The 23749-nt window shown below is 43.9% G+C and overlaps 1 protein-coding gene, 1 long non-coding RNA gene and 1 pseudogene across 4 annotated transcripts in view, besides 3 other annotated features; 1 reads left to right on the top strand and 2 right to left on the bottom strand.

Annotated features, from left to right (window-relative positions):
* Positions 1-7229, bottom strand: part of ZNF337-AS1 (ZNF337 antisense RNA 1) — a 54030-nt gene extending 46801 nt beyond the window's left edge. For 2 of the 3 annotated variants that reach the window (NR_126465.1, NR_126466.1), the window contains exon 1: positions 7139-7229. This is a non-coding gene — a long non-coding RNA (ZNF337 antisense RNA 1). Of the gene's footprint in view, positions 1-6847; positions 7050-7138 lie in introns of those variants that run through there. The other variant, NR_126467.1, reaches the window with a different exon arrangement.
* Positions 7171-7340: an enhancer, noted in NCBI's record as "active region_17671". NCBI's record gives its function as "activates an Ori minimal core promoter by ATAC-STARR-seq in GM12878 lymphoblastoid cells {active_cell/tissue: GM12878}" and the evidence as "EXISTENCE:reporter gene assay evidence [ECO:0000049][PMID:35858748]".
* NANP (N-acetylneuraminic acid phosphatase) lies at positions 7260-18339 on the top strand. The gene is made up of 2 exons (NM_152667.3): positions 7260-7415; positions 14693-18339. The coding sequence occupies exons 1-2, from the start codon at positions 7326-7328 to the stop codon at positions 15347-15349; spliced, it is 747 nt and encodes a 248-aa protein (NP_689880.1). The 5' UTR covers positions 7260-7325; the 3' UTR covers positions 15350-18339.
* Positions 7312-7987: an enhancer, noted in NCBI's record as "H3K27ac hESC enhancer chr20:25603923-25604598 (GRCh37/hg19 assembly coordinates)". NCBI's record gives its function as "activates a minimal SCP1, AML or CMV promoter by ChIP-STARR-seq in naive H9 embryonic stem cells {active_cell/tissue: H9 hESC(naive)}" and the evidence as "EXISTENCE:reporter gene assay evidence [ECO:0000049][PMID:30033119]".
* Positions 7511-7570: a silencer, noted in NCBI's record as "silent region_12754". NCBI's record gives its function as "represses an Ori minimal core promoter by ATAC-STARR-seq in GM12878 lymphoblastoid cells {active_cell/tissue: GM12878}" and the evidence as "EXISTENCE:reporter gene assay evidence [ECO:0000049][PMID:35858748]".
* RNU6ATAC17P (RNA, U6atac small nuclear 17, pseudogene) lies at positions 20051-20121 on the bottom strand (annotated as a pseudogene).

Here is a 23749-nt window from a genome sequence, read left to right as displayed (position 1 = left end):
TGAACAGACACTTCTCAAAATAGGACATTTTTATGCAGCCAATAGACACATGAAAAAATGCTCATCATCACTGGTCATCAGAGAAATGCAAATCAAAACCACAATGAGATACCATCTTATGCCAGTTAGAGTGGCGATCATTAAAAAGTCAGGAAACAACAGATGCTGGAGAGGATGTGGAGAAATAGGAACGCTTTTACACTGTTGGTGGGAGTGTAAATTAGTTCAACCATTGTGGAAGACAGTGTGGCAATTCCTCAAGGATCTAGGACTAGAAATACCATTTGACCCAGTGATCCCATTATTGGGTGCTATATACCCAAAGGATTATAAATCATGCTAGTATAAATACACATGCACATGTATGTTTATTGTGGCACTGTTCACAATAGCAAAGACTTGGAACCAACCAAAATGTTCACCAATGATAGACTGGATTAAGAAAATTGGTACATATACACCACGGAATACTATGCAGCCATAAAAAAGGATGAGTTCATGTCCTTTGCAGGGACATGGATAAAGCTGGAAACCATCATTCTCAGCAAACTATCACAAGGACAGAAAACCAAATACTTCATGTTCTCACTCATAGGTGGGAATTGAACAAAGAGAACACCTGGACACAGGGCGGGGAACATCACACACTGGGGCCTGTTGCGGGTGGGGGCCTGGGGGAGGGATAGCATTAGGAGAAATACCTACTGTAAATAACGAGTTAATGGGTGCAGCACACCAACATGACACATATATACCTATGTAACAAACCTGCACGTTGTGCACATGTACCCTAGAACTTAAAGTATAATTAAAAAAAAGAAAAAAGAAAACAGAGGGGCTCCGTTACAGGCTTCAAACAGAGAGAAAGCCAGAGCCACCTACAGCCGAGTCAATGTGGGGATTCCTGCAATGCCTCGGCCAACTGAAGGGTAGAGCATGAAACACACAGTCATTTGATGGTAATTATCTTGAAAAGATCAGACCAGTGATATTTCTGCAAGGAGACCAATTCTACCACAATTCCTTCCATCTATTAGTCACCATCTCACAATTATTTTGCCTTTTCTAATCAGCAGCTAGGCATTTGAAGCCCTTTCTTGAACACATTTATCATCTCCAATTTTGTGGACAGAATCAATTTTATTTACCCATGCTAAGCCTACCACAATCTCATTTGTAATTAGAGAAGTATGCATGAGGGAAAGGATTTGTTGTTGCTAAATTAGGTCCAATGTTCCCATCCTTGGCGTGTCTGGTGTGTTTATAACATGCCCTCCGCGGCTGGTGGCAGGTGGACTCAGGGTGCCCAACAATGTTCTTCCCTAAATCAAAGCTCATCGTGATTTTTCCTATCTAAGTTGCTTCAGGAATCGTCCCAGCTGTCCCCAGACTGTCCAGGGAGTTCCCTGCTGGAGATTGTTCCCAGTCCACTAGAGCTGAACCTGAAATTGATTTTGCCTAACTCTAGTAAGATCTGCAGACAAGGAAGAAACCAGGAAATGGTGGCCAAAGAAAGACACCGTGGCACCTCAAAAGTGACAAAACATTGAGAAGCAATGCCCCTCGTAATTCTCCATCTCTGTCCAAATGGGCACTTCCTGGGAAACCAAGAATGCACTTCTCATCAGCAGAAGGGTATCTTAGGAAGGACATTCACTGCCCATTCCTCACCCAACCCTTGGTGGTTCCAGGCTTCACCTGAATGGGTGTCTCTCCTTCTCCTGATGGCAAACTCAAGGGCTCTGAAGAGCTAATATGTTTCCAGGTCAGGAATGACCCAAGATATAACTCAGTCTGTGTTATAACTCCCCTTTTTCTAACCCTTTTAACTTCCCAGTACAGAGCAGACAGCTGTGCTCAGGAACCGTGTCTCCAGCAGCAGTTTTCCCCCTTTTCCTGTTAAAGTCCTACCTGAGAGCCTACCCCATGGAGAAGCCTCATAGGAATTAAGATATTCCAGATATTCTTAGGAAAATGAAATATTGAAGAATGGCTTCCTGAGCCGATAATGGTGGTATATTTGAAAAACAGACCAGAGTGCGATGTTTAAAAGCCTGAAGTCATAAAAGGTATTATGAACGGATGGATGGGGAACCTCTACAAGCAGAATTCATTGATGTCACTGTAAACGATGAATGCTGTCACTCTTTTTTATATATAACAAAAAGATACGCTGCTGCATCCAGACCTCATTGGAGAAGTTGTCAGACTCACTGAAATGGCATTGCATAAGCTATTTATGATGATATGAGGGAAAATATAAGGTTAAGAGATCTTTATCTACTATCTATGGAAATGTGCTTCCACACAAAGGCGGTACATGAAATAACCTTCCGGATAACCCATGACATTGGGGGCACTGTAAAGTGAGATTAACTAGCAGAGACAAATCTGCACTCAAATTGTTTGTGCTCAACCCTGATGCCTTGGCCTCATGAACACACAGTTGTTTTTCTAGCTTTCTCTATGTAAAATCCCACTCCGAATTTTACAGCACTCGTTGGTGTGACAGATTCACAAGTGAACCAACAAAAAATTCATGCTCCACCTTCCAGAAGATAGAGGGGCTGCTGGGAACAGCTGCCCAGCCACAGATGACATCTCCCAGCCACCTTTGTCTTTGTCATGGCCAAACCATAGGCTACAAGCAGAGGGGAAGTGGTCATTTCCAGGCCAGGGTTTTTCAAAATCAGGTGTGCTTCCCCGATGATCTCTCCAGGTTTCCAGTGCCCGGGGATAGAAGATTCCCAGGTTCTAGGGGATGGCGAAGCTATGACAAGAAAAACCCTGGGCCTTGCGTCACCCCATGGAGAAATGACACTATCAACCCAGGACCAATCCACACCACACTTTATATAAATGAGAAGTGAACTTCTATTTCACTGCCCAGACAACTAAAATTTGCAGTTTGTTACAACAGTTAGTGTTATCTTTATTAGTTGATATGGCTTGGGTCTGTGTCCCCACTCAAATTTCATGTCGAATTGTAATCACCAGTGTTGGAGGAGAGGCCTGGTGGGAGATGATTGAATCATGGGGGCAGACGTCCCCCTTGCTGTTCTTGAGATAGAGGTCTCATAAGATCTGGTTGACTGAAAGTGTGTAGCACCTCCCCACCTCCTCTCTCCTGCCAGCCATGTGAAGATGTGCTTGCTTTCTCTTCACCTTCCACCCTGATTGTAAGTTTCCTGAGGCCTCCCCAAAAGCAGAAGTCTATATAGGCCAAAGAACCATAAGCCAATTAAGCCTCTTTTCTTTGTAAATTAAAAAAAAAAAAATTAGCCAAGCATGCTGCCACATGGTGGTGGGAGGACCACTTGAGCCCAGGAGACAGAAGTTGCAGTGAGCCGAGATTGTGCCACTGCCCTCCAGCCTGGGCAACAGAGCAAGACCCTGTCTCGAATAATATTAATTAAAAAAAAAAAGCTGGCTGGGTGCAGTGGCTCATGCCTGTAATCCCAGCACTTTGGGAGGCTGAGGCAGGCAGATCAAATGAGGTCAGGATTTCAAGACCAGCCTGGCCAACATGGCAAAACCCCATCTCTACTAAAAATACAAAAATTAGCCAGGCATGGTGGCACGCACCTTTAATCCCAGCTACTAGGGAGACTTGGGCAGGAGAATTGCTTGAAGCTGGAAACTGAGATCACGCCACTGCACTCCAGTCTGGGCAACAGAGTGAGACTCTGTCTCAATCAATCAATCAATCAAGGTGTCAGCCAGGCACGGTAGCTCATGCCTGCAATCCCAGCACTTTGGGAGGCCGAGGTGGGTGGACCACCTGAAGTCAGGAGTCTGAGACCAGCCTGGCCAACAGAGCGAAACCCCGTCTCTATTGAAAATGCAAAATTAGCCAGGCATGGTGGTGCATGCCTGTAGTCCCAGCTACTTGGGAGGTTGAGGCAGGAGAATTGCCTGAACCCAGGAGGTGGAGGTTGCAGTGAGCTGAGATCACACCATTGCACTCCAGCCTGGGCAACGAGAGTGAAACTCCATCTCAAAAAAACAGTTAATAATAAAATAATAAAGCTGTCAGGTTTTACTGCATCTAGCCATTATTCAAGTAGCAAAGTTGCAAGGAGCCGAAGACCCATGGGACATGACCAACTCAGCATTCCACCGGAGGCTATATGATCAAACAGCAAACTGTTTATCATGAATGCAGGATGTGGGCAAATTCACATTGCCCTGCCACCAAAAGGTTTGCTGAAGGACATCACTCCCTGGTGCCAGGCTCCTTAAAGTTATCTATTGAGAAATCTAGCGCCTATTGTCCAAAGGATGCAGTCTCGCAAGCCTGCTGTGAACCAAATGGCCGACTATTACCCAACAATCGCCCCCCTTCTCGCTATCTCTTTTGCCTAATAAATACGGAGGGCTGTGTAAAGCTCAGGCCCCTTGTCCACTAGAGGCAAGGTGCCCCCGACCCCTTCTTCCAAATATATTTTTATCTCGTCTTTCATTCCTGTGTTCCCCCTCTTTGTTCAGTCCCCCTAGGTCCATGCTAGTTACATAGTGGCACCTGGACAGGGACTGATAGCTGTAGTATATCCTCTGTCCTTTTCCCTATCTATAGGAGGAGGCGGCTTAGGTAAGACCTCTGTTTCCTCTTTGTTATTTTGGCCCAGTGATATTGGGGCTGAGGGAAGAGGAGGTGATAAGGCAGGTGATGTTTTCTTCTCCTTCCTCTTTTTAGGATCTTCTGTGTGTAACTGAGCCAGGGCTGCTCAAATTAAAGCCCATAACATTAAAGATTTTACTGGGACCTGATGCCTTTGCGCCTGATGTTGTTTAAGGTTTCTCCCCACTTGTTCCCAGAGTTCTATGTCTAGAATTCCTTCCTCTGGGAACCATGGGCTTTGTACTCCATTATTGACCACACTAGTTTTTAATTCCTTCAACAACTTAAATTCCTGTGGAGTGTGTTCATGAATTACCTACTATGGATTATTTGGATCAGGCCTTATGGAAACAGGAAAAGCGCAAGGTCCTAAGGGCTCTCCAGCTATGACAGCAGAGCGTAAAATTCTTTGTGTTGGGGTTTCTATTTCTACTACCGAAGGAGGCAGCACCGATGTTTCTGCAATTGGAGGAGGCGGTATAGGCCAATTTTAATCCTCCCTCTCCTGTTTTTTATTTTCAATTGGTGCTATGTGTGGGACAACAGATTCAGATTTTTATGAACAGCAACAGAATAGGGTGCTCTACACAAAGTTGGACAGGTCATGGAATGCCATTAGACGACTTGTCACAAAAGGAAATCTATCAAACAACGCATCCCCTTAAAAGGATTATACAGACTGCTATGCCTCATCTAACCTTAGATTTTTGCCTAAATCAGCAAACAACAAACTCTGCATGCAAGTCAGAAAAAAAAAAAAAAAGCTGCTCCAATCCTATAAGCTTCCTGTGCCTATAGTTTTATGCTAAATTGATTCTGACATTTCAGGCAATTAAAAGTAACTCCAATTAATTCACCATAATTTTGGCTGATTGCTAATCTAAATGTCCACAATTGATAGGCTAGCCCTATACGTCAATGAGGTAAGCACAGAAAGGAGTCATGGTTTTGAGGAATGCCTATGGGTTTATTCTCCACCATAGCAATGAGATGTCAACTGTGATTGTGCTCCATAAAATATAGAAACTGTAGGTAGTCTAACGCTGCAGAAGAAACTCCTATTAATATAAAGATAAACCAATTAATCTAACCTACTGAACATCAGTGGTCTGTTAAGGAGTTCCACCAGCGAGGTGAGAGACTGGCAATTTTTTTCTCTAAAGAGCTAAATAATGAATATTTTAGGATTTCCAGCCACGTGGTCTCGCTTACAATTACTCAACTCTGTCTGCTTCTGTATGGCAACAGCAGCCACAGACGATACAGAAATGAATGTGTGCGCTGTGTTCTAATGCAACTATGGGCACTAAAATTTCTTGATTTTCATGTGTAACAAAACACTGTTATTTTGATTTTTTAAATCCATTTACAAATGTAAAAATCACCCTTAGCCAGGCGCGGTGGCTCACGCCTGTAATCCCAGCTCTTTGGGAGGCCAAGACGGGTGGATCACGAAGTCAGGAGTTCGAGAACCAGCCTGGCCAACATGGTGAAACTCCGTCTCTACTAAAAATACAAAAATTAGCCGGGGGGTGGTGGCATGCGCCTGTAATCCCAGCTACTCAGGAGGCTGAAGCCGGAGAATTGCTTGAACCCGGGAGGCGGAGGTTGCAGTGAGCCAAGATCGTGCCACTACACGCCAGACTGGGTGACAGAGCAAGACTCCATCTCGAAAATAAAAATAAAAATAAATTAAAAAATAAAAAAAACCACTTAGCTCACTGGCTAAACAAAATCAGGTAATTGGCCTGTACCTGACAGTCAATTTCTGGTCACTAATGATGACCACATATCCAAATTACAGTAAAGGTACCCAAGAGAGACAAAGATTAGAGATTAGTGTTACGATCCCCGTTCTGCCAGCACTAGGAGACAAGAGTTGCTACAGCCCTTCCGCGGGTTTAAAAGGCGGTCGACGTCCCTCAACCTCTTGCTATGCCTGAAAACAACCGAGTAAAAGGCATCCAAAGACCTGAGAACGCAAGGTTTCAGGAAAACAATCAGGAAGGGCAAAACATGGGGCAGCCACTACACAGCCCCTCCGTCTTAGGGCACAGGTACTAAACGGGTTGTAAGAGACCCAAGTCACATCCTTCAGAAACGTGCTGGCGCGGGCCCAGGCAGACAGGGATTCCACCCCGGCGAAGGCCGCAAATGGCGCGAGGCGGGAAGGCGCAGGCTCCACCTTCCCCCGTCCCCAGATCACCTACAGTGACCTGCGCGTACAGGCAGGCTAGGACCGCGGGCGCTCAAGGCAGACATCAGGCCCGCCGACGTCTCCGCGCCGCCCGCCCGGCCACCCGGAGAGCCTGCTGCCCAGCGCCTGGCAGCGCGGACAACCTCTCTCGGGGAGGTGATGACGGTCCCTCGCGCCGGAGGGCCCAGGGAGGAAAGAGATAAGCAGAAAGACACCAGGGAAGAACACCACGCTTCGGACCAACGCCAGCCACAGCCACTGAGAAGTCGCCGCATCCGGCGGCGCCGACACACGTTTCCAGGGCTCTTGAGAGACCATACCCTGGGAGTCTCGCGGGATCTCACTTTTCTCGGCGGCGCAGGGAATGAGACAGATCGCGGGAATTCCACCCGCGCCGGGAGATGGTCTGGTGACTTCGCGGCTCCTCCCACGTCTCTCTGGGCAGTCCGCCTTGCGCATGCGCAGGCGGCGGTGGCAAGGCTACGGTTCGCGCCAGCGGCCGGCGCTATGGGGCTGAGCCGCGTGCGGGCGGTTTTCTTTGACTTGGACAACACTCTCATCGACACGGCCGGGGCGAGCAGGAGAGGCATGTTGGAGGTAACGTCCCCACCCATGGCGCTCCTCTGGGCGGGGTCAGTGCGCCCCGCCCCGTCCTGCACGCTCACCTCCCCTTGACCCCACTTCCACCCCGGCGCCGCGGGCCGCTCTTGCTGGTTGAAACCTGTGGAGCGTGCGGGTGCGGAGGTGGCTGGAGGCGCGCGGGCCCTGCGGGTCTGCTTTCCCTGGCCTGGCGGCCGCTTGTCACCCAATCTCGAGCCCTGGAGCGGCTGCTCGCAGGTGCCTTGGCGCTCGGGACGCGGAAGGGCTCCGTGACGGCTGCCACGGTGGCGGAGGTGCCCGTGGGCGCGGGAGGCGACAGCAAAGCCGCGAGACCAGGCGCTGGTCCCGCCCCCGGTCAGACTGTCGGTGTGGAGCTCGACAGAGGGTCGTGTCCCCCATGCGACTTTCGGGGTTGCTGGGAGGAGACATGGTAGAGTTAGCCCCAGTGTTGACCCAAGAAGGGACACGGCTGTCAGTACCGAGCCTGGACTTAAGCCCTGCTTTAGAGAATTGTCGCCGCAGAACTTCTTCTGGCCTCCCTGGCGGGGTGGTGGTCACCGTGGCTTTCTGACACGTGACACAGCAAAAGCCCGTGCTGCGAGGGCATGCCCTTCCTGAGGCGCTCCTCCGCGGCACTGCCCCTCTACACGCGCGGAGGCGCTTTCAGACCTTCCCGTGTTCCAGCCCCAGTCCACCCCGGCTTCCCTTTCTCTACCTTCAGCTTCAAGGGGAAAGGGAAGGATTTATCAGATGTGGAAAACTCACTTTCAAAAGCTAATTCATCCAAACCTGAGCGCCCCGTCCTCTTCATGCTTCATCAGTTAGTTTTTGTGTCCCTGGATCTTCCACTACCTCATCCGTTTTCTTTTTAGCTGCATTCCACTCCTGCCGCATATTCATGTTTGCCCTATAGTTTTAAAAAAGCTGTAAAAAGGATGCCTCCCTTTGGGCTATTCTTCCTGCTGTAGATGTTGCCTGTCTCTCTTGACAGCCATGTTTTCCCGGAGAAATCTATACCCGTTATCTCCTTGTCTCTACCTCCTATTTATTACTAAATCCATCGTAATGTCGCTTTATCTTCACCGCTAGACTGAAATAGACTTGCTGGATCACTAGGCATTCCCAAAATGCCGGAATCAGTAGACATTTTTAAAGTCTGTCTTCATGACTTTACTGAGGCATTCCACACTTTTAACTTGTTGGCCTCCACCTCAGGGGTGCCACCCTGTGCCATATTGCCTCCAGTATCTCTCGCTGCAGATGTTACATATTTACCTGTGTGTTATTAGTAAGCTGAGTCCTGTGCATTTCAATTAAATTATTGCTTTAGGCCAATTCTTGCTGTAGGCCCAGAGTTTGGGCTTTAAAATCAGACATTTGAATATGAATCACAGCTCTCCCAAAACCTAGCTGAAAGTGCCTCAAGGAATTAACCACTCGGAGCCTTATATCTTCATAAAATGTGAATTATATTAGTCCTCAATAACCCTGTAATACTTGGGAAGCCCATGGTTGCAGTGTCCACTCAGCGAACTATAGCACCTTCCACCCTCGTACGCTGTCTGTCCACCACTGCACATGCCCCGTGCATGTCTCAGTTACAGCTGAACTCATCTCTCACCTAGACTGTTGCTGTGGGCTTGTCTCCAGGTTTACCACATCCAGTGTGTCCTCCACATTCTTGCCACAGCAATATTTTTAAAACAAAGACTAAATCGTATGCCTCCCTGGTCTTTACACCCTCACTTATAGTAGTGCTGTATTTTGTTCAGATATTTCTTAATGCATCTGTCAAAGGATATTTCAATTAATTTTGCAACTCAGGTGCCTACTACTAAATAGTGAGCTTCTTGGGAGGGAACAAGCTGTCTTAATTATCCTCGTTTGACACATGGCAAATGTTGAATAAATGCTGGATGGATGGATACAAATTTTTACTTCGAGACTTGGTTCTATTACTGCCTCCTTTATAATTACAAATCATTGTAAATAATTTATGAATGGGCCGGGCGCGGTGGCTCACGCCTGTAATCCCAGTACTTTGGGAGACCGAGATGGGCAGATCACGAGGTCAGCAGATGGAGACCATCCTGGCTAACACGGTGAAACCCCGTCTCTACTAAAAATACAAAAATTAGCCGGGTGTGTTGGCGGGCGCCTGTAGTCCCAGCTACTGGGGAGGCTGAGCCAGGAGAATGGCGTGAACCCGGGAGGCGGAGCTTGCAGTGAGCCGAGATCGCGCCACTGCACTCCAGCCTGGGCGACAGAGCCAGACTCCGTCTCAAAAAATAATAATAATTTATGAATGGAGGAAGAGGGAAAGGTCCAGCCATTTATGGCCTTGGGCTTGGGGAGAAGAGGTCATATACTGACTGTATGTATCAACTTTAATTTTTTCTAATCACCTAGGGAAGTTATTTTTTTTCTCCCTCTTTAGACCTGTTTTTCATGGTAATTACTCAAGAGGAACTTTTCTACAGAAGCCTGGAGTTTCTCAGTGAACAAAGCAGAAGAGATTTCTGCATTTGTGAATTTACTTCTTAGTGGGTATGGCAGTGAACATAATAAATATTTACAGGTGTGATAGAAAAAGCAGAGAGGGTAACAAATCAACATTTTAAATAGACTGGTCAGATTTGGCCTCATCGAGTAGGTGATGTTTGTGCACAGACTTGAAATAAAAATAACAGAAGCGCTGCTTGAATTGCTAGGCTGAGTGCAGGCCTCATTTTGTGAGCGTGTTTTAAAATTGTTAATAGTTTTATTTGGAATTCATCCCCTTCTGTCGTGCTGGATCCCTATTGATTTCAGTAGGGATAGCACCATGTTCAAGAGGCTGAAGATGAGACCCGGAGCCAGCAAATGAGGAACGGTTTTTGAGGGAACTTATATACAAGACGGTCCATTGGCGGCGGGCTGGACAGAACTGCAGCCACTTGTAAAAAGAATGCAGTTTATATAGCATTTTCACTTAGCACCCTCCCTGCAGCAACCTCCTCCTGGCTACCTTCATTTAATGGAAAAAAAAAAAAGGGGGGCCTCTATCCCCTCTGCAACCTGAGTTCCGCAGGATGGGATGGGCCATGGTTCAGATCCTCCTCATAAATAAGGAATGAATCTCTGGATTGGACACTCCTGGACTCCTTATCTTGGAACCCGAATACACATTCCTCATAGACCACAGGGTCATTCTAAGGGTGTGCGTAAGTTAGTGCTGTCAGGTGCACCTGCTATACGCTTCATATCCAAATGATTAGTATTCAGAATACACTTTTCTTAAAGTGTTGTAAAGTATTAGATGGTTCCAAACTAAGCCCTCAAAAAGTCTTTTAAAATCAGTTAGCTAAACTAAAGTATTGATGATACTAACTTTAGTTCTGGGTCTAGGGAGCAGACAGAAGAATAGAGTTTCCTTTTTCGTATACGTTCAGAGAGAGCCTTAAAATAGAGTTTTGAAGTGGGTGAAGTTTGAGTTCATATTGATCTACTAACGGATAGCCCTTCTGTCAGAGCAGGGCCCCTTTCTTCAGGCCAGCGAGCACCTTGTGGGCTCTTTATACCAAAATCTTTTTCAGCCCTGCCTTACCAGTCAGACACAAAGTATCATCACGCCTCCAAGTTAGAGAGCTTTTTCCTTCACCTCCAATTCAATCAATACTCCCATTTTCAGTGCAGGTGTTAGGAGAGTTTGTAATAACGCATACTAATTCAGGGTAGGTGTTAATTTCTGTTTGAACTAATAAATGAATGCTGATAAACTTTTTTCCTAAAGATGTTAATATTGTTAAAATGCTACTTATTGTCGCATACCAACCTGTAATTAGTTGCTGTATGACAAAATGAGGAAGTTAATTGAAGGGATAGAATAGGAAGAGATTTTGAAACTTGGGCGTGGCATACCATGCCTTTATAAACATCTCCCTTTTAAGGTGAGCAAATCCTGCTTTTTCAGAGCCCCAAGAATGTGCTTAATGAAGTGCCAGTTGAAGTAACAGGAAATTGGGTCTGTACTGGGAGCCAGTAGGAAATTGGGTCTGTATAGGAGCTGATTATGAGCCAGCCCGTATCTAAGCGCAAGCTCTGTGGAGTCCTAGAGGCATGTGTCCTTGCACTGCTGTAGGGTTGCTGAAACTTTGGAGCTCCTGTCAATCATAGCTTAAGAGTCCTTCAATTGATGTTGCTAGCAAAGATGGTGAGATAAACATGGAGATTGAGAAAGCTTTATTTGTTCATAGAGATGTATAAAGCAAAAATTTACAGCGTTTTGCCTTTACCTAAAATTCCTAGGGCTGGTATATTTTTCTTGGGCAGATAAGATTTTTCTTAATGATTACATTTTCTTTTCTTTTTTCTTTAATTTTTTTTTCTCATATGGCCAAGTCTTCTGATACATTTTCTGATTAGCACAAATACCTCAAAAAATATTTTCCTTTCAGCCAGGCACGGTGGCTCACACCTGTAATTCCCAGCACTTTGGAAGGCCAAGGCAGGAGGATTGCTTGAGGCTAGGAGTTAAAGACAATCCTGGGCAATATGGCAAGACCCGTCTCTACAAAAAAAATTTATTAGCTGGGTATGGTGGTGTGCAGTTGTAGTTCTAGCTATTCGGGGGACTGAAGTGAGATGAGCCCAGGAGTTTGAGGCCACAGTGAACTATAATCATTCCTCTACTGCACTCCATCCAGCCTGAGTAACAGAGCAAGATCCTGTTTGGGGAAAAAAAAAAAAAAAAAAGACCCTTTTCCTTTGTTGTGATTCTTTTACTCTGAGGGAAGAAAAACACATGCGTTCCTCTCTCAGTAGGTGAGTTGAGTTTTTGGTGTGAGTGGCATACTGTTTATTCCCTAGTCCCATTACAACAGATATATTTTAACTGTAGCTGGGTGCATTTCAAAGAGCCAGCATTGCCTGGCATGTTTGACTTTCTTCAGGTGCTCACCTGAACACAGGATTTCCAGTGCAGACAGTTCTTGAGGCGATCCCAGGATACACGTTAAGGGGTCGGGGAGACAAGAAGGGGAAGGAGTCCAATACGGGTTAGAGCAGCTTAATGACCAGGTTACTGCTGTGAGCAGCTGGAGATTTCTGGGGGACAGTACACAGAACAGGGTTCAGTTTTGCTCCCCAAGGGGCAAGGAAGCTGTGATATTTATTCGCCAGTTTCTGCCCTACATTTGTTGAGGGCTGCTCCCAGGGCAATACTTTTTAGCCCCATCCTGTGTGTATAGATACCCTTGTGTGTGGCCAAGTAAAGCCCACAAGCAGAGAGGCCCATACTTGGAGAGGGAAGCCACTGGCGAGTGAATATAGTGTGTGCCAAGGGGATTTAGGCAGCACCTGCTATAACATGGGGTTCAAGGCCCTTCACAAACTATCTGTGAACAGGTTCCCCAGTTGCATCTCTTGGCATCTTCCCTCACATGCCTCCATTTGGGCTCAACTCAGCTTCTTGCTTTTTCCACAAAATTTTAAACTCTTGGCCTTTGTTCATGCTGTTCCTCTGTCTGGAATGATTTTCTTCTCTTCCCAAACCCGCTTTTTCTGCTTGTTTACTCCTTGGTCTCAATGTGACTTCCTCTGCCAGCTACCCTGTGGAATGACTTCCATATTATTCCCACAGCTTGTTCAAACTACTGTCATGGCATTTCCCCCACCCCCGGCCCATGATTTGTAGTGGTTGTATATTATATTCCCCACCAGATAATGCCTCAACGACAAAGGCCAGTCTCTAGTGCTTAACACATAGTGCAAAGGCAAGCATGTGGGCTTTGGAAGTAAGCAGGTATGGATGCAGATCCCAGATGGGCGAGTTATTAACAGTTCTGCACTTCCCTGCCTAATTTGGAACATGGAACTGTCTTGCAGGATTGTAGAAAAGTTTAGAAATAATGTATGTAAGTATGTAGTACAATGCTTGCCACATTAGGGGTTTTAGGAAAAGTTACAAGACAGGCCAAATGGATTAGTGTTATAAAAGCCACATAAAGAGCCTTGGGAACGCAGGAAGAGGGAGTATTTAACTCAAAAGTACAGAATTGGGGCCGGGCGCAGTGGCTCATGCCTATAATCCCAGCACTTTGGCAGGCAGAGGCAGGAAGATCACTTGGGGTCAAGAGTTCGAGGCTAGCCTGGCCAACATGGTAAAACCCCGCCTCTACTAAAAATACAAAAATTAGCCAGGCATGGTGGCGGGCACCTATAGTCTCACCTACGCGGGAGGCTGAAGCAGGAGAATCACTTGAACCCAGGAGGCAGAGGTTGCAGTAAGCTGAGATTGCACCACTGCACTCCAGCCTGGGCAACAGAGCGAGACTCTGTATCCAGAAACAAAAAAGTACAGAATTGGGCCAGGCACAGTGGTTCACGCCTGTAATCCTAGTAATTTGGAGGCCGAGGCAGGCAGATCACTTGAGGTCAGGAGTTCGAGACCAGCCTGGCCAACATTGTGAAACCCTGTCTCTGCTAAAAATACAAAAATTAACCAGGCGTCGTGGTGGGCGCCTGTAATCCCAGCTACTTGGGAGGCTAAAGCAGGAGAATCTCTTGAGCCTGGGCAGTGGAGGTTGCAGTGAGCCGAGCTGGTGCCATTGTACTTCAGCCTAAGCTACAGAATGAGACTGTGTCTCAAAAAAAATAAAAGTGTAGAATTGGATCCCATTATAGGTGATAGTCAATTTAGGTCTTCAAAATGTGAAATGGATGTAGATGAGAAAAGATTAGATGAACTAAGTGTTATTTTTTTCTGATGATAGTCTAAATAGTGGTTGTCAGAAATTTTAAATGTTTTACCAAAAATAAGTACAACGAGTTTTTGTTTTTGTTTTGTTTTGTTTTTAAGATGGGGTCTCGATATGTTGCTCATGCTGGTCCTGAACTCCTAAACTCAAGTGATCCTGCCACCTTGGCCTTCCAAAGTGCTGGGATTACAGGCATGAGCCACCATGCCCGGCCCAAAAAGCACAAGTTTTATTTTCATATCTTCATGACCAGAATGAAAGATGTTGGACTCTAAACTACCAAACAAAGGATTGTTACTAGCTATATATGAAGAAGTTGGCTTTAAAAAATGAGTGAGTTCTAGAGCAGTTGGGAGAGCCTCACTTTGTTGTCTCTAAAAATAAGGCCAATTCCCACCAGAAACGGTGTAGTTAGTAGCTGCTTTAAAGCAGAGGAGTGGAGTTGGACTCTCTCAGCCACTTGTAGGATCACAGCTTCCTAGGGCATGACTACTAAAGACATGCAATGTGTTAATGGAGTTATTTTCCATTATTTAGGTGATAAAACTCTTACAATCAAAATACCATTATAAAGAAGAGGCTGAAATCATCTGTGATAAAGTTCAAGTTAAACTCAGCAAGGAATGTTTTCATCCTTACAATACATGCATTACTGATTTAAGGACTTCACATTGGGAAGAAGCAATCCAGGAAACAAAAGGTGGTGCAGCCAATAGAAAATTGGCTGAAGAATGTTATTTCCTTTGGAAATCTACACGTTTACAGCATATGACACTAGCAGAAGACGTCAAAGCCATGCTTACTGAACTTCGAAAGGAGGTCCGCCTACTTCTATTAACGAATGGGGACAGACAGACCCAGAGGGAGAAGATTGAGGCTTGTGCCTGTCAGTCCTATTTTGACGCTGTTGTTGTAGGTGGAGAGCAGAGAGAGGAGAAACCAGCACCGTCCATATTTTATTACTGCTGCAATCTTCTCGGAGTACAACCTGGGGACTGTGTGATGGTCGGTGACACATTAGAAACCGACATCCAAGGAGGCCTCAATGCAGGATTGAAAGCAACAGTCTGGATCAATAAAAATGGAATAGTGCCACTGAAGTCCTCCCCAGTTCCGCATTACATGGTTTCTTCTGTGCTAGAGTTACCTGCTCTCTTACAAAGTATAGACTGCAAAGTCAGTATGTCCACTTAAAGCACATAAAAGGGCATGATTATGAATGTTAGAATCAATTTGCTGAGTATGAAATAAGAAAAGTTAGGGCACTCCACTTATGATAATCCAGCTCTAAGAATAATTTTACTTATGATTTAATGGCCAATATTTTGAAGGTCTTCCCAACCCTATTGCTTCTAAGTTGTAACAACCAACCATTGAGTGGTACTTATATCTGAAAATTCAGATTGCATGAATTCAGGTCAGTAGTATAGCCCAGAAAATTTAAGGAAATATATTATTTGTTAGTCTGTATCTGGAGCTTTTTAAAATTATGTTATTAATCTTTTAGTATCTTGGCTGCATAATGCCAAGCAGGATTGCTTTACACATGGATGCACAAATGTAAGGTTTATCTTCTGGCTTAAAAATAGATATTTTTAAAAAATAGATTTTCTAAAACACAGATTTATGAAAGCAAGTGAATCTGGTTAATATGAAATAAGTACTAAGTCACATGCAAATCAAGGTATTATATAGTGAAATTATTTTGCATATTTTGAAAACATAAACCATAGTTTTTGCCTACTTTGGATGTATACTTTCTTTTATGAACCTGATTTTTCTGTATGACATTTTTTTTTTTTTCAGAGGGCAGGGAGCAATTTTTCTATGGCATGTGACAGATTCCTCCAGTTAGAAAAAGCTGTTAAAATCAACACATGGTGCTCCTTTACCGTGACATTTTCTCACCTGTGCACAGTGAGCCGGTAGCTTCCTTTTAGTCTTCACCTCTCAAGGAAATGTTTTTACTGTCTTTTCCCAGACACACAGTGGGGTTGAGGGAGCTAGGCTGTTTTGCTAGAGATAATTGCAAGGCACGTGGCACTAAAAGTCATTTTTCTTCTGTGGATCCATAAGAGGAACATTTCCTCAGTGTAGCCTAACAATGCAGCCCCCAATCTGTTCCTTTTTTTTTTTGAAATGGGATCTCTGTCGCCCAGGTTGGAGTGCCATGGCACCATCTCGGCTCACTGCAACCTCTGCCTCCTGAGCTCAAGTGATCCTCCCACCTCAGCCTCCCAAGGGTGTGTGTGACTACAAGTACACACTACCACGCCCAGCTAATGTGTGTTTTTGTAGAGATGGGATTTTGCCATGTTGCCCAGGCTGGTCTCGAATTCCTGGATTCAAGTGATCCTCCCACCTCAGCCTCCTAAAGTCCTAGGATTATAGGCATGAGCCACTGTGCCTGGCCCCCTCATCTGATAGAAAATTAGATTTTGCTATGAGCCATTTCCTGAGGGCCAATTTAATACTCGTGTGACTCTTCTTAGAGTTACCATCTGCCTTAAATTTCCTCTGTTTTTCACATTCTTGGAAATATATCATTGTTTTGCAAATTTCTATATCTAATTCAGGGTTTACCAGGAGCTTAATAATTAATGGCTACATAGCAAGGCATCGTCTTGGAACCGGAGAATTTTCTCTAGACTATTAGGCTAGACAGTCTCATGATTATACTAACCAAACCTGGAGTAAAGTGGTTGAAAAAAAAGAAAGTATAAAGGGGCTTATTAAAGTGGTTAATAAATATGATTTAGGTTGGTTTTTGATATGTTTTTCTTCCAACTGTTATATAAGAAACTACTAATGTAAAATAGTAGGCTATATGTTGGGATGTGTATAGCTATGTCTTCAAGACTAATACTCAGAGAATCAAATTGTAGATTGTACCTATCTGTGAGCCTATTTCTTTAGCCAGTTTTCTGTCTACTGCCAAGAAACAGAATTCTCTGCCTCATGCAAATGCCCTTTCGTGTTTACTTTTCGCTCTAGATTTTTAAAAATGTGATTGTGCCCTTGACTGTACCAAAGTGCTGTTGCTATAACAGTGAACATTTGTGAACAGAGGATGTTTGTAGTTTCAAATGCAGTACCCATATGACCTTGATCATATTTTAGCTATTTAAAAATTAAGTTGGAGGATTTTGGCAGAAGTAGTCACATGCATGATTGCTCTGATAGATTGGTTGGCGTGTGCTGCAGGGGGCTTGTCCTTTTAACTCTCCCACAGGATGGATGTAGGCAGTGTCACATTCATTATGCTGAGAGTGAAGGTTCATCACTCCTGTATCATGGTAGCAAATCTCAACAGGATAGCTTCTAGGATGTTAAGTGAGCAGTTCTCCAGCAGAAATGATGTAGAAGGAAAAAATTGAATAATTAAATTTCCTTGTCTTCACAGTTTGTATTCTACAGAGTACAGTAATGTATTACATTCCATTTGCACCCTTCCTTAGGGAAGAACTTTGTGGTTATCTACCTTCTGAGTGGAATGTTACAGAAAATATTTTAAAATATTGGAATAAACCTATGATTTTATTAATATTTTTTGTTTTAGAATAATATTCCTTAAAATTATGGGTGATGTTTTGTCATCTTTATTTTTTTTCAAAGTTTCCCTGTAGTGGCCTTCTCACACAAAGCCAGAGGCCCTCCCTAACACTGCTTACAGAGGTGGGCCTAGAACAGACATGAATGGACACTGCACCTGGAATACCAGCACCTGGTGGGGAGGTTTGGTTCCATGTGCACCTCCACATACAAGGCACGAACATCTCAGATCTGGGAGTGCCCAGGACCCAGTGGATGCTCAGTATTGTAGGAAAGCAGGTCTTTACCAAAGTTCTTGGTTTATTGCTTTCAAACTTCTTTGCAACCTTCAGTAAGAAACATTTTCTATCATAACCTCTTTAACACATTTATAGTGTTAGATAACACTGTAACTATATATAAATATAAATATAACACATGTATATAAATAAATATAAATATAACATTTTATAGTATAACATTAATATGTGTATGGGATCCAGTTTTATATGTTTAATTTTCATAAAACATTCTTGTTACGTGTGATGATATTTTTCATTCCATTCTTTTTTGAATTAGGGAATATATTCATTGTTGAACAAGTACTACTTGTAGTACACAAGTCAAAAAAATAAAAGGGTGAATGGTGAAAAGTCATTCTCCTCATCTCTTTGCTAGGGGCCCACAACCCACTTGCCCTAAAGGCCACTACTGTTTAGTTTTTGTTTTATTTTTAAAAATAGAGACAAGGTCTCGCTATGTTGCCCAGGCTAGTCTCAAACTCCTGAGCTCAAGCAGTCCACCTGCCTCAGCCTCCAAAAGTGCTAGGGTTACAGGCATGAGCCATGTCACCCAGCCAAGGCCAGTGCTGTTACCAGCTTCATGTATACCTGCATATAGAAGTGTATAAGACTATATAGAATCAGTTGAATTCAGGCAGATTTTTAATTTCTGTATTTCAGTTTAGGAAACAGCATTCTTGCTCAGATAATCTAAGAGTCATGCAGCTTGTGTTTAAGCCATTTGTGTTAGGAACATAATACCTTCATGGTCTCAGCCATGTGCGAGATCTCTGTAGTTCCATTGACTTTCGCATACCACCACCCTGGTGATTCTCTTTGCCTCTTATGTTAAATTTCCTATTTTCTGTGTCCTGTGTATTCCTATTTTGACTTATTCCCTCTTTTTGGTGGCATGCATCCTTGCGTAGGTTCCCTGTAAACGTGTGTAGGAGGTAAAAGTTTTGAGATCTGAAATGTCTGAAAATATCTTTATTCTCTTCTCCCATCATTGATAGTTTTAATAGTGTGTATTTCGATAACATTTTTACTTGAAATTTTGAAGGCATTGGTCTGTGGTCTAGCAGCCATTTGTATGTGACCACTTTCTTTCTCTCTTGTAACTCTTAGAACCTTATTTTCCTCCAGTGGTCCATGATCACATGCCTTGGAGAGGGTGTTTCCATCCTCTGTGCTTGGCACGCTGAACCCTTTCAATCAAAATCATATTTTCTTGGTCCTGGGGAATTTAATGACTTCATTGATAATTGCCTCCCTTTGTTTATTTTCTGATTTCTCTTTATGATTTCTGATTTTTTTTGGTTTCTCTTATCCCTGTTATTCAGATGTTAGAACTCCTTTACTGACCTTCCACTTTATCTTTTCACTCCCATTTTTCCATCTCTGTTACTCTGTTTCTTCAACTTTACCTTCCAATCCTTCTATGATTTTTCCCTCTACTATCATACCTTTTAAAGATTTCCAAGAGCTTGATTTTTTTTTTTTTTTTTTTAGACGGGGTCTTAACTCGGTCACCCAGTGAGGAGTGCGGTAGCACAGTCATGGCTCACTGCAGCCTTTAATTCCTGGGCTCAAGTGATTCTCCCACCTCAGCCTCCAGAGTAGCTGAGACTACAGGCACATGCTATGATACCCAGCTAATTTTTTTGTATTTTTTGTAGAGACGGGGCTTCACCATGTTGTCCGGGCTGGTCTCAAACTCCTGGCCTCAAGCAATTCTCTCACCTGGGCCTCCCAAAAGTGCTAAAATTACAGGCATGAGCCACTGTGCCCAGCCCCAGTGTATTTTTTAATCACTTGAGTTCAGGTGTTCAAGACCAGCCGGCCAACATGGTGAAACCACATCTACTAAAACAAAAATTAGCTGGGCATGGTGGCACACACCTTAAGTCCCAGCTACTTGGGAGGGTGAGGCAGGAGAATCACTTGAACACAGGAGCCAGAGGTTGCAGTGAGCCAAGATCACACCACTGCACTCCAGCCTGGGCAACAGAGTGAGACTCGGTCTAAAAAAAAAAAGGCTTTAATTTTACTTAAAAATATATATATATATATATATATATATATATAATAATTAGATGCCATGAAATAGGTGGCAAGGCCTTAACAATATGTGTGTTGTGAGGCCCAAGGGCCTCCCAAAAGCTTGTTTTTGTTGTTGTTGAGATGGAGTCTTGCTCTGTTGCCAGGCTGGAGTGCAAGTGGCACGATCTCAGCTCACTGCAACTTCCACCTCCCGGGTTCAAGTGATTCTCCTGCCTCAGCCTCCCGAGCAGCTGGGACTACAGGTGTGCACCACCATGCCCAGCTAATTTTTGTATTTTTAGTAGAGACGGGGTTTCACCATGTTGGCCAGGATGATCTCGATCTCTTGACCTCGTGATCCGCCCACCTCGGCCTCCCAAAGTGCTGGGATTACAGGCCTGAGCCACTGCACCTGGCCCCAAGAGCTTTTTAAAAAAAAATTCTAAATAACATTCTGGGATTTTTTTTGTTGCTTGTTTTTTGTTTTGTTTTTGAGTGGAGTATCATCTCTGAAAAAAAAAATTAAGTTTTAAAAGAATCCACAGCATATACCATTCTAAGTTTCCCTAATCTGTTTATTTGGGTCTATTTGTTCATACTGGAGGCTTTCCTCAAGTGCCCATTAACCCTTGGTTATTTATGATACAGAGAAGAGAGATGGAAATGCTGATTGGAAGTTCCACACAAGTGCATGGGCCTTCTCAAATCAGAGGTTCTTTTACTGTGGGGTATCTGGATGGGCTGTTAGTTGAGGGATCCCTGAGGTCAGTGTGTTAAAGTCTTTTCTCTTTGTTGGTCTGCTCTCTTAGAGATGAATCTTCAGACTGGAGAGTAGAGGTCTGATGTCAGCATTAGGAGCTGAGTGGGAAGGGTGTGTGTGCATATAGCCCCATGCTCTCTGTTTCTTGTTGCACCTGAGTCCAGCTATGCTTGGTATTCCCCAGGCTAGAGACCCCTCTGTCTTACCCTCCACAGAGAAGCATCCCAGTGTCTGCTGAGAGAGAACAAGTTGGAGTGGGGACAGGGATCTAGGGGTTTGTTTGTACCTTGAGCACCTTTTTACCCCAGCCTCCTTAATTCAGCTGCTCCTTTCCTCTCCTCCAGGACCTCAGCATCTGGGGATGCCAGTGCCCGCATCTTTGGAGGAGTCTGCTGTGTACCTCATTATTTCTCAGCCTTCCCCTCTGCTGGTCAGGACTCGCTTTCTTTAGTCTACTAGATCCTTTGCCACTTGTCCATATGCTTTGCAGCTTCCAAACTTGTGTTGTGGTTGATGCCTGTCTTCCTGGTCCTTGTGGATTTGTGTGTGTGTGCTTGTATGTTTGAATTCCTTTACTGCAGTTTTAGCTGAGTTTGGGGTACAAGCTATCAGATGTGTATTTCCATCCACCATCTTGATGTGGAAGTTCTTTTTCCACTTTGTGTTCAATGTTGGTCAAGACCCATGAAACTGACCCCATGCCCGATAGTCACTACTCGCAGGTCAGAAATGCTCATTTGAGGTGGACATTTACAGCATGCCTGCAGCTTTTTTCTTCTTTTAATTTATTGTTTTGAATTACTAGTTTCCTTTTTCTCTGTGTCCTTGTATGTGACACTCTTTGACATAACTCTTATCATGATGGGAGTCTACTTGTTGTCCTGTGTTTGTGAACTTTCGCCATTGCTTGGACATAGATGTTTATTGACATGCTTGCACAGTCTGACTGGGTCTTTGGCCAATATCAGCAACTCTATTCCCAAATCACTTCTAAAACAGTTATACTCTCTTAGATTTCTTTAAAATTAAAATCCTTACTGGGATGCATTAGATTTATACTTTGTTTCTTTTTTTCTTAGATTTATACTTTTTAAAAATTAACTTACTCCTAGCAATAGGACTAAAATTTAGCCAGATAAAACCATAAATTTTTAAAACCAGTCTTCATTCATATATGACATATATGATAATACAGTTATTTCCACTAGATTTCTTAGAAGATGTCATTGTGATCAGCCTGACCTTCAGATAAGATCTTCAGGCTGGGTGTGGTGGCTCATGCCTGTAATCTCAGCACTTTGGGAAGCCAAGGTGGGAGTATTGCTTGAGCCCAGGAGTTCAAGACCAGCCTAGGCAACAAGGAGAGATACTGTGTCTACACAAAATAAAAAAAAATTAGCCAGACATGGTGACGTGTGCCTGTGGTCCCAGCTACACAGGAGCCTGAGGCAGGAAGATTGCTTGAGCCCAGGAGGTCAAGGCTGCAGTGAGCTGTGTTTCCACAACTGTATACTGTGTTTTTGTTATTGTCTGCCTGGGTGACAGAGCAAGACTCTGTCTTAAAAAAGATTTCCAATACTCGATTTTTTTTTTTCAGACAGAGTCACACTCTGTCGCCCAAGTGGGAGTACAGTGGTGCAATCTTGGCTCACTGCAACCTCTGCCTCCCTGGTTCAAGCAAGTCTTCTGCCTCAGCCTCCAAAGTAGCTGGGATTACAGGTGCCTGCCACCACGCCTGGCTAATTTTTCTATTTTTAGTAAAGATGGGGTTTCCCCATTTTGGCCAGGCTGGTCTCAAATTCCTGACCTCAAGTAATCCATCCGCCTTGGCCTCCCAAAATGCTGGGATTACAGGTGTGAGCCACTGTGCCTGGCCAATACTCAGATTTTAAAAGTCATGGAAGATAGCCAGGCATGATGGCTCACACCTGTCATCTCAGCACTTTGGGAAGCTGAGACGGGAGGATCGCTTAAACCCAAAAAGTAAAAAAAAGTAAAATTTTTTAAAAAGTCACAAAAGATAAAATGGTTTTAACCACCAGACAATTAAAGAAATAATACTCAAAATAGTTCCTGTTTAAAATTACATTTTTTAATGCTTAAAGGAATTATATTGACCATTTTATTGAAGCTTAGAGGTTAAGCAAATCAGCCAATTTGGACTCTCAGATATGTGTCCTCAGCCCACTTGGCATCTCTGCGTAGATGTCTAATAGACATTACCAAAATAACTCCTTTCCAACCAAACTCCTGGATTTCTCTCAAAAATCTGCTCTTCCTGCTGTCTTCCACATCTCAGTAACAGCAATGTCACTTTTTTTTCAGGATATGGCTATATCTTGCACTTAAGAATATTCCTGGCCCGTGGTAGGCACTCAGTGAATATCTGTTGAATGAAGCAGTTATTGGCTATTTCTATAAAAATTAATTAAAATTAAACAAATTTTAACAACAAGGGGCAACTCATCAACTCGTTTTTGTTAAAATTTTACTTTTCCTTCCTTTCACATGCGGATTTGTCCTTTGCACCATGATAAAGCAGAATGGGAATTCTGTGTTGAGGACTGCAGTGATGATGCTAGTTCACTTCCTGTAATGTGCCTGTTTCCAAGCACCAGCTAATAACCTGTACCACACTGTTGAGCTGATACAGAAATGACAGTTGACGGAATGGTCACAAATCTCCATTTATTTGACATATGTATTTAATGAAGAAAATCTTTCTTGAGTACATTTACAAACTCCAGCAGTGACTGTCATTATGATGGAAAATATTCACGTTCTGTTCCTTTTTTTTTTTTTTTTTTTCTTGAGACAAGGTCTCACTTTGTCACCCTGGGGTGCAGTGGTACAACATGGCTCACTGCCGCCTCACCTCCCAGGCTCAAGCAATCCTTCCACTGCAGCTTTCCGAGTAGCTGGGACCATAGGTGAGCGCCATTACGCCCGGCTAATTTTTGTATTTTTTGTAGAGACGAG

Source organism: Homo sapiens, chromosome 20, assembly GCF_000001405.40.
Source record: "Homo sapiens chromosome 20, GRCh38.p14 Primary Assembly".
Lineage (NCBI taxonomy): Eukaryota > Metazoa > Chordata > Mammalia > Primates > Hominidae > Homo > Homo sapiens.
The sequence above is the reverse complement of the archived record's forward strand: the minus strand, read 5'-3'. Positions and strand labels throughout refer to the sequence as shown.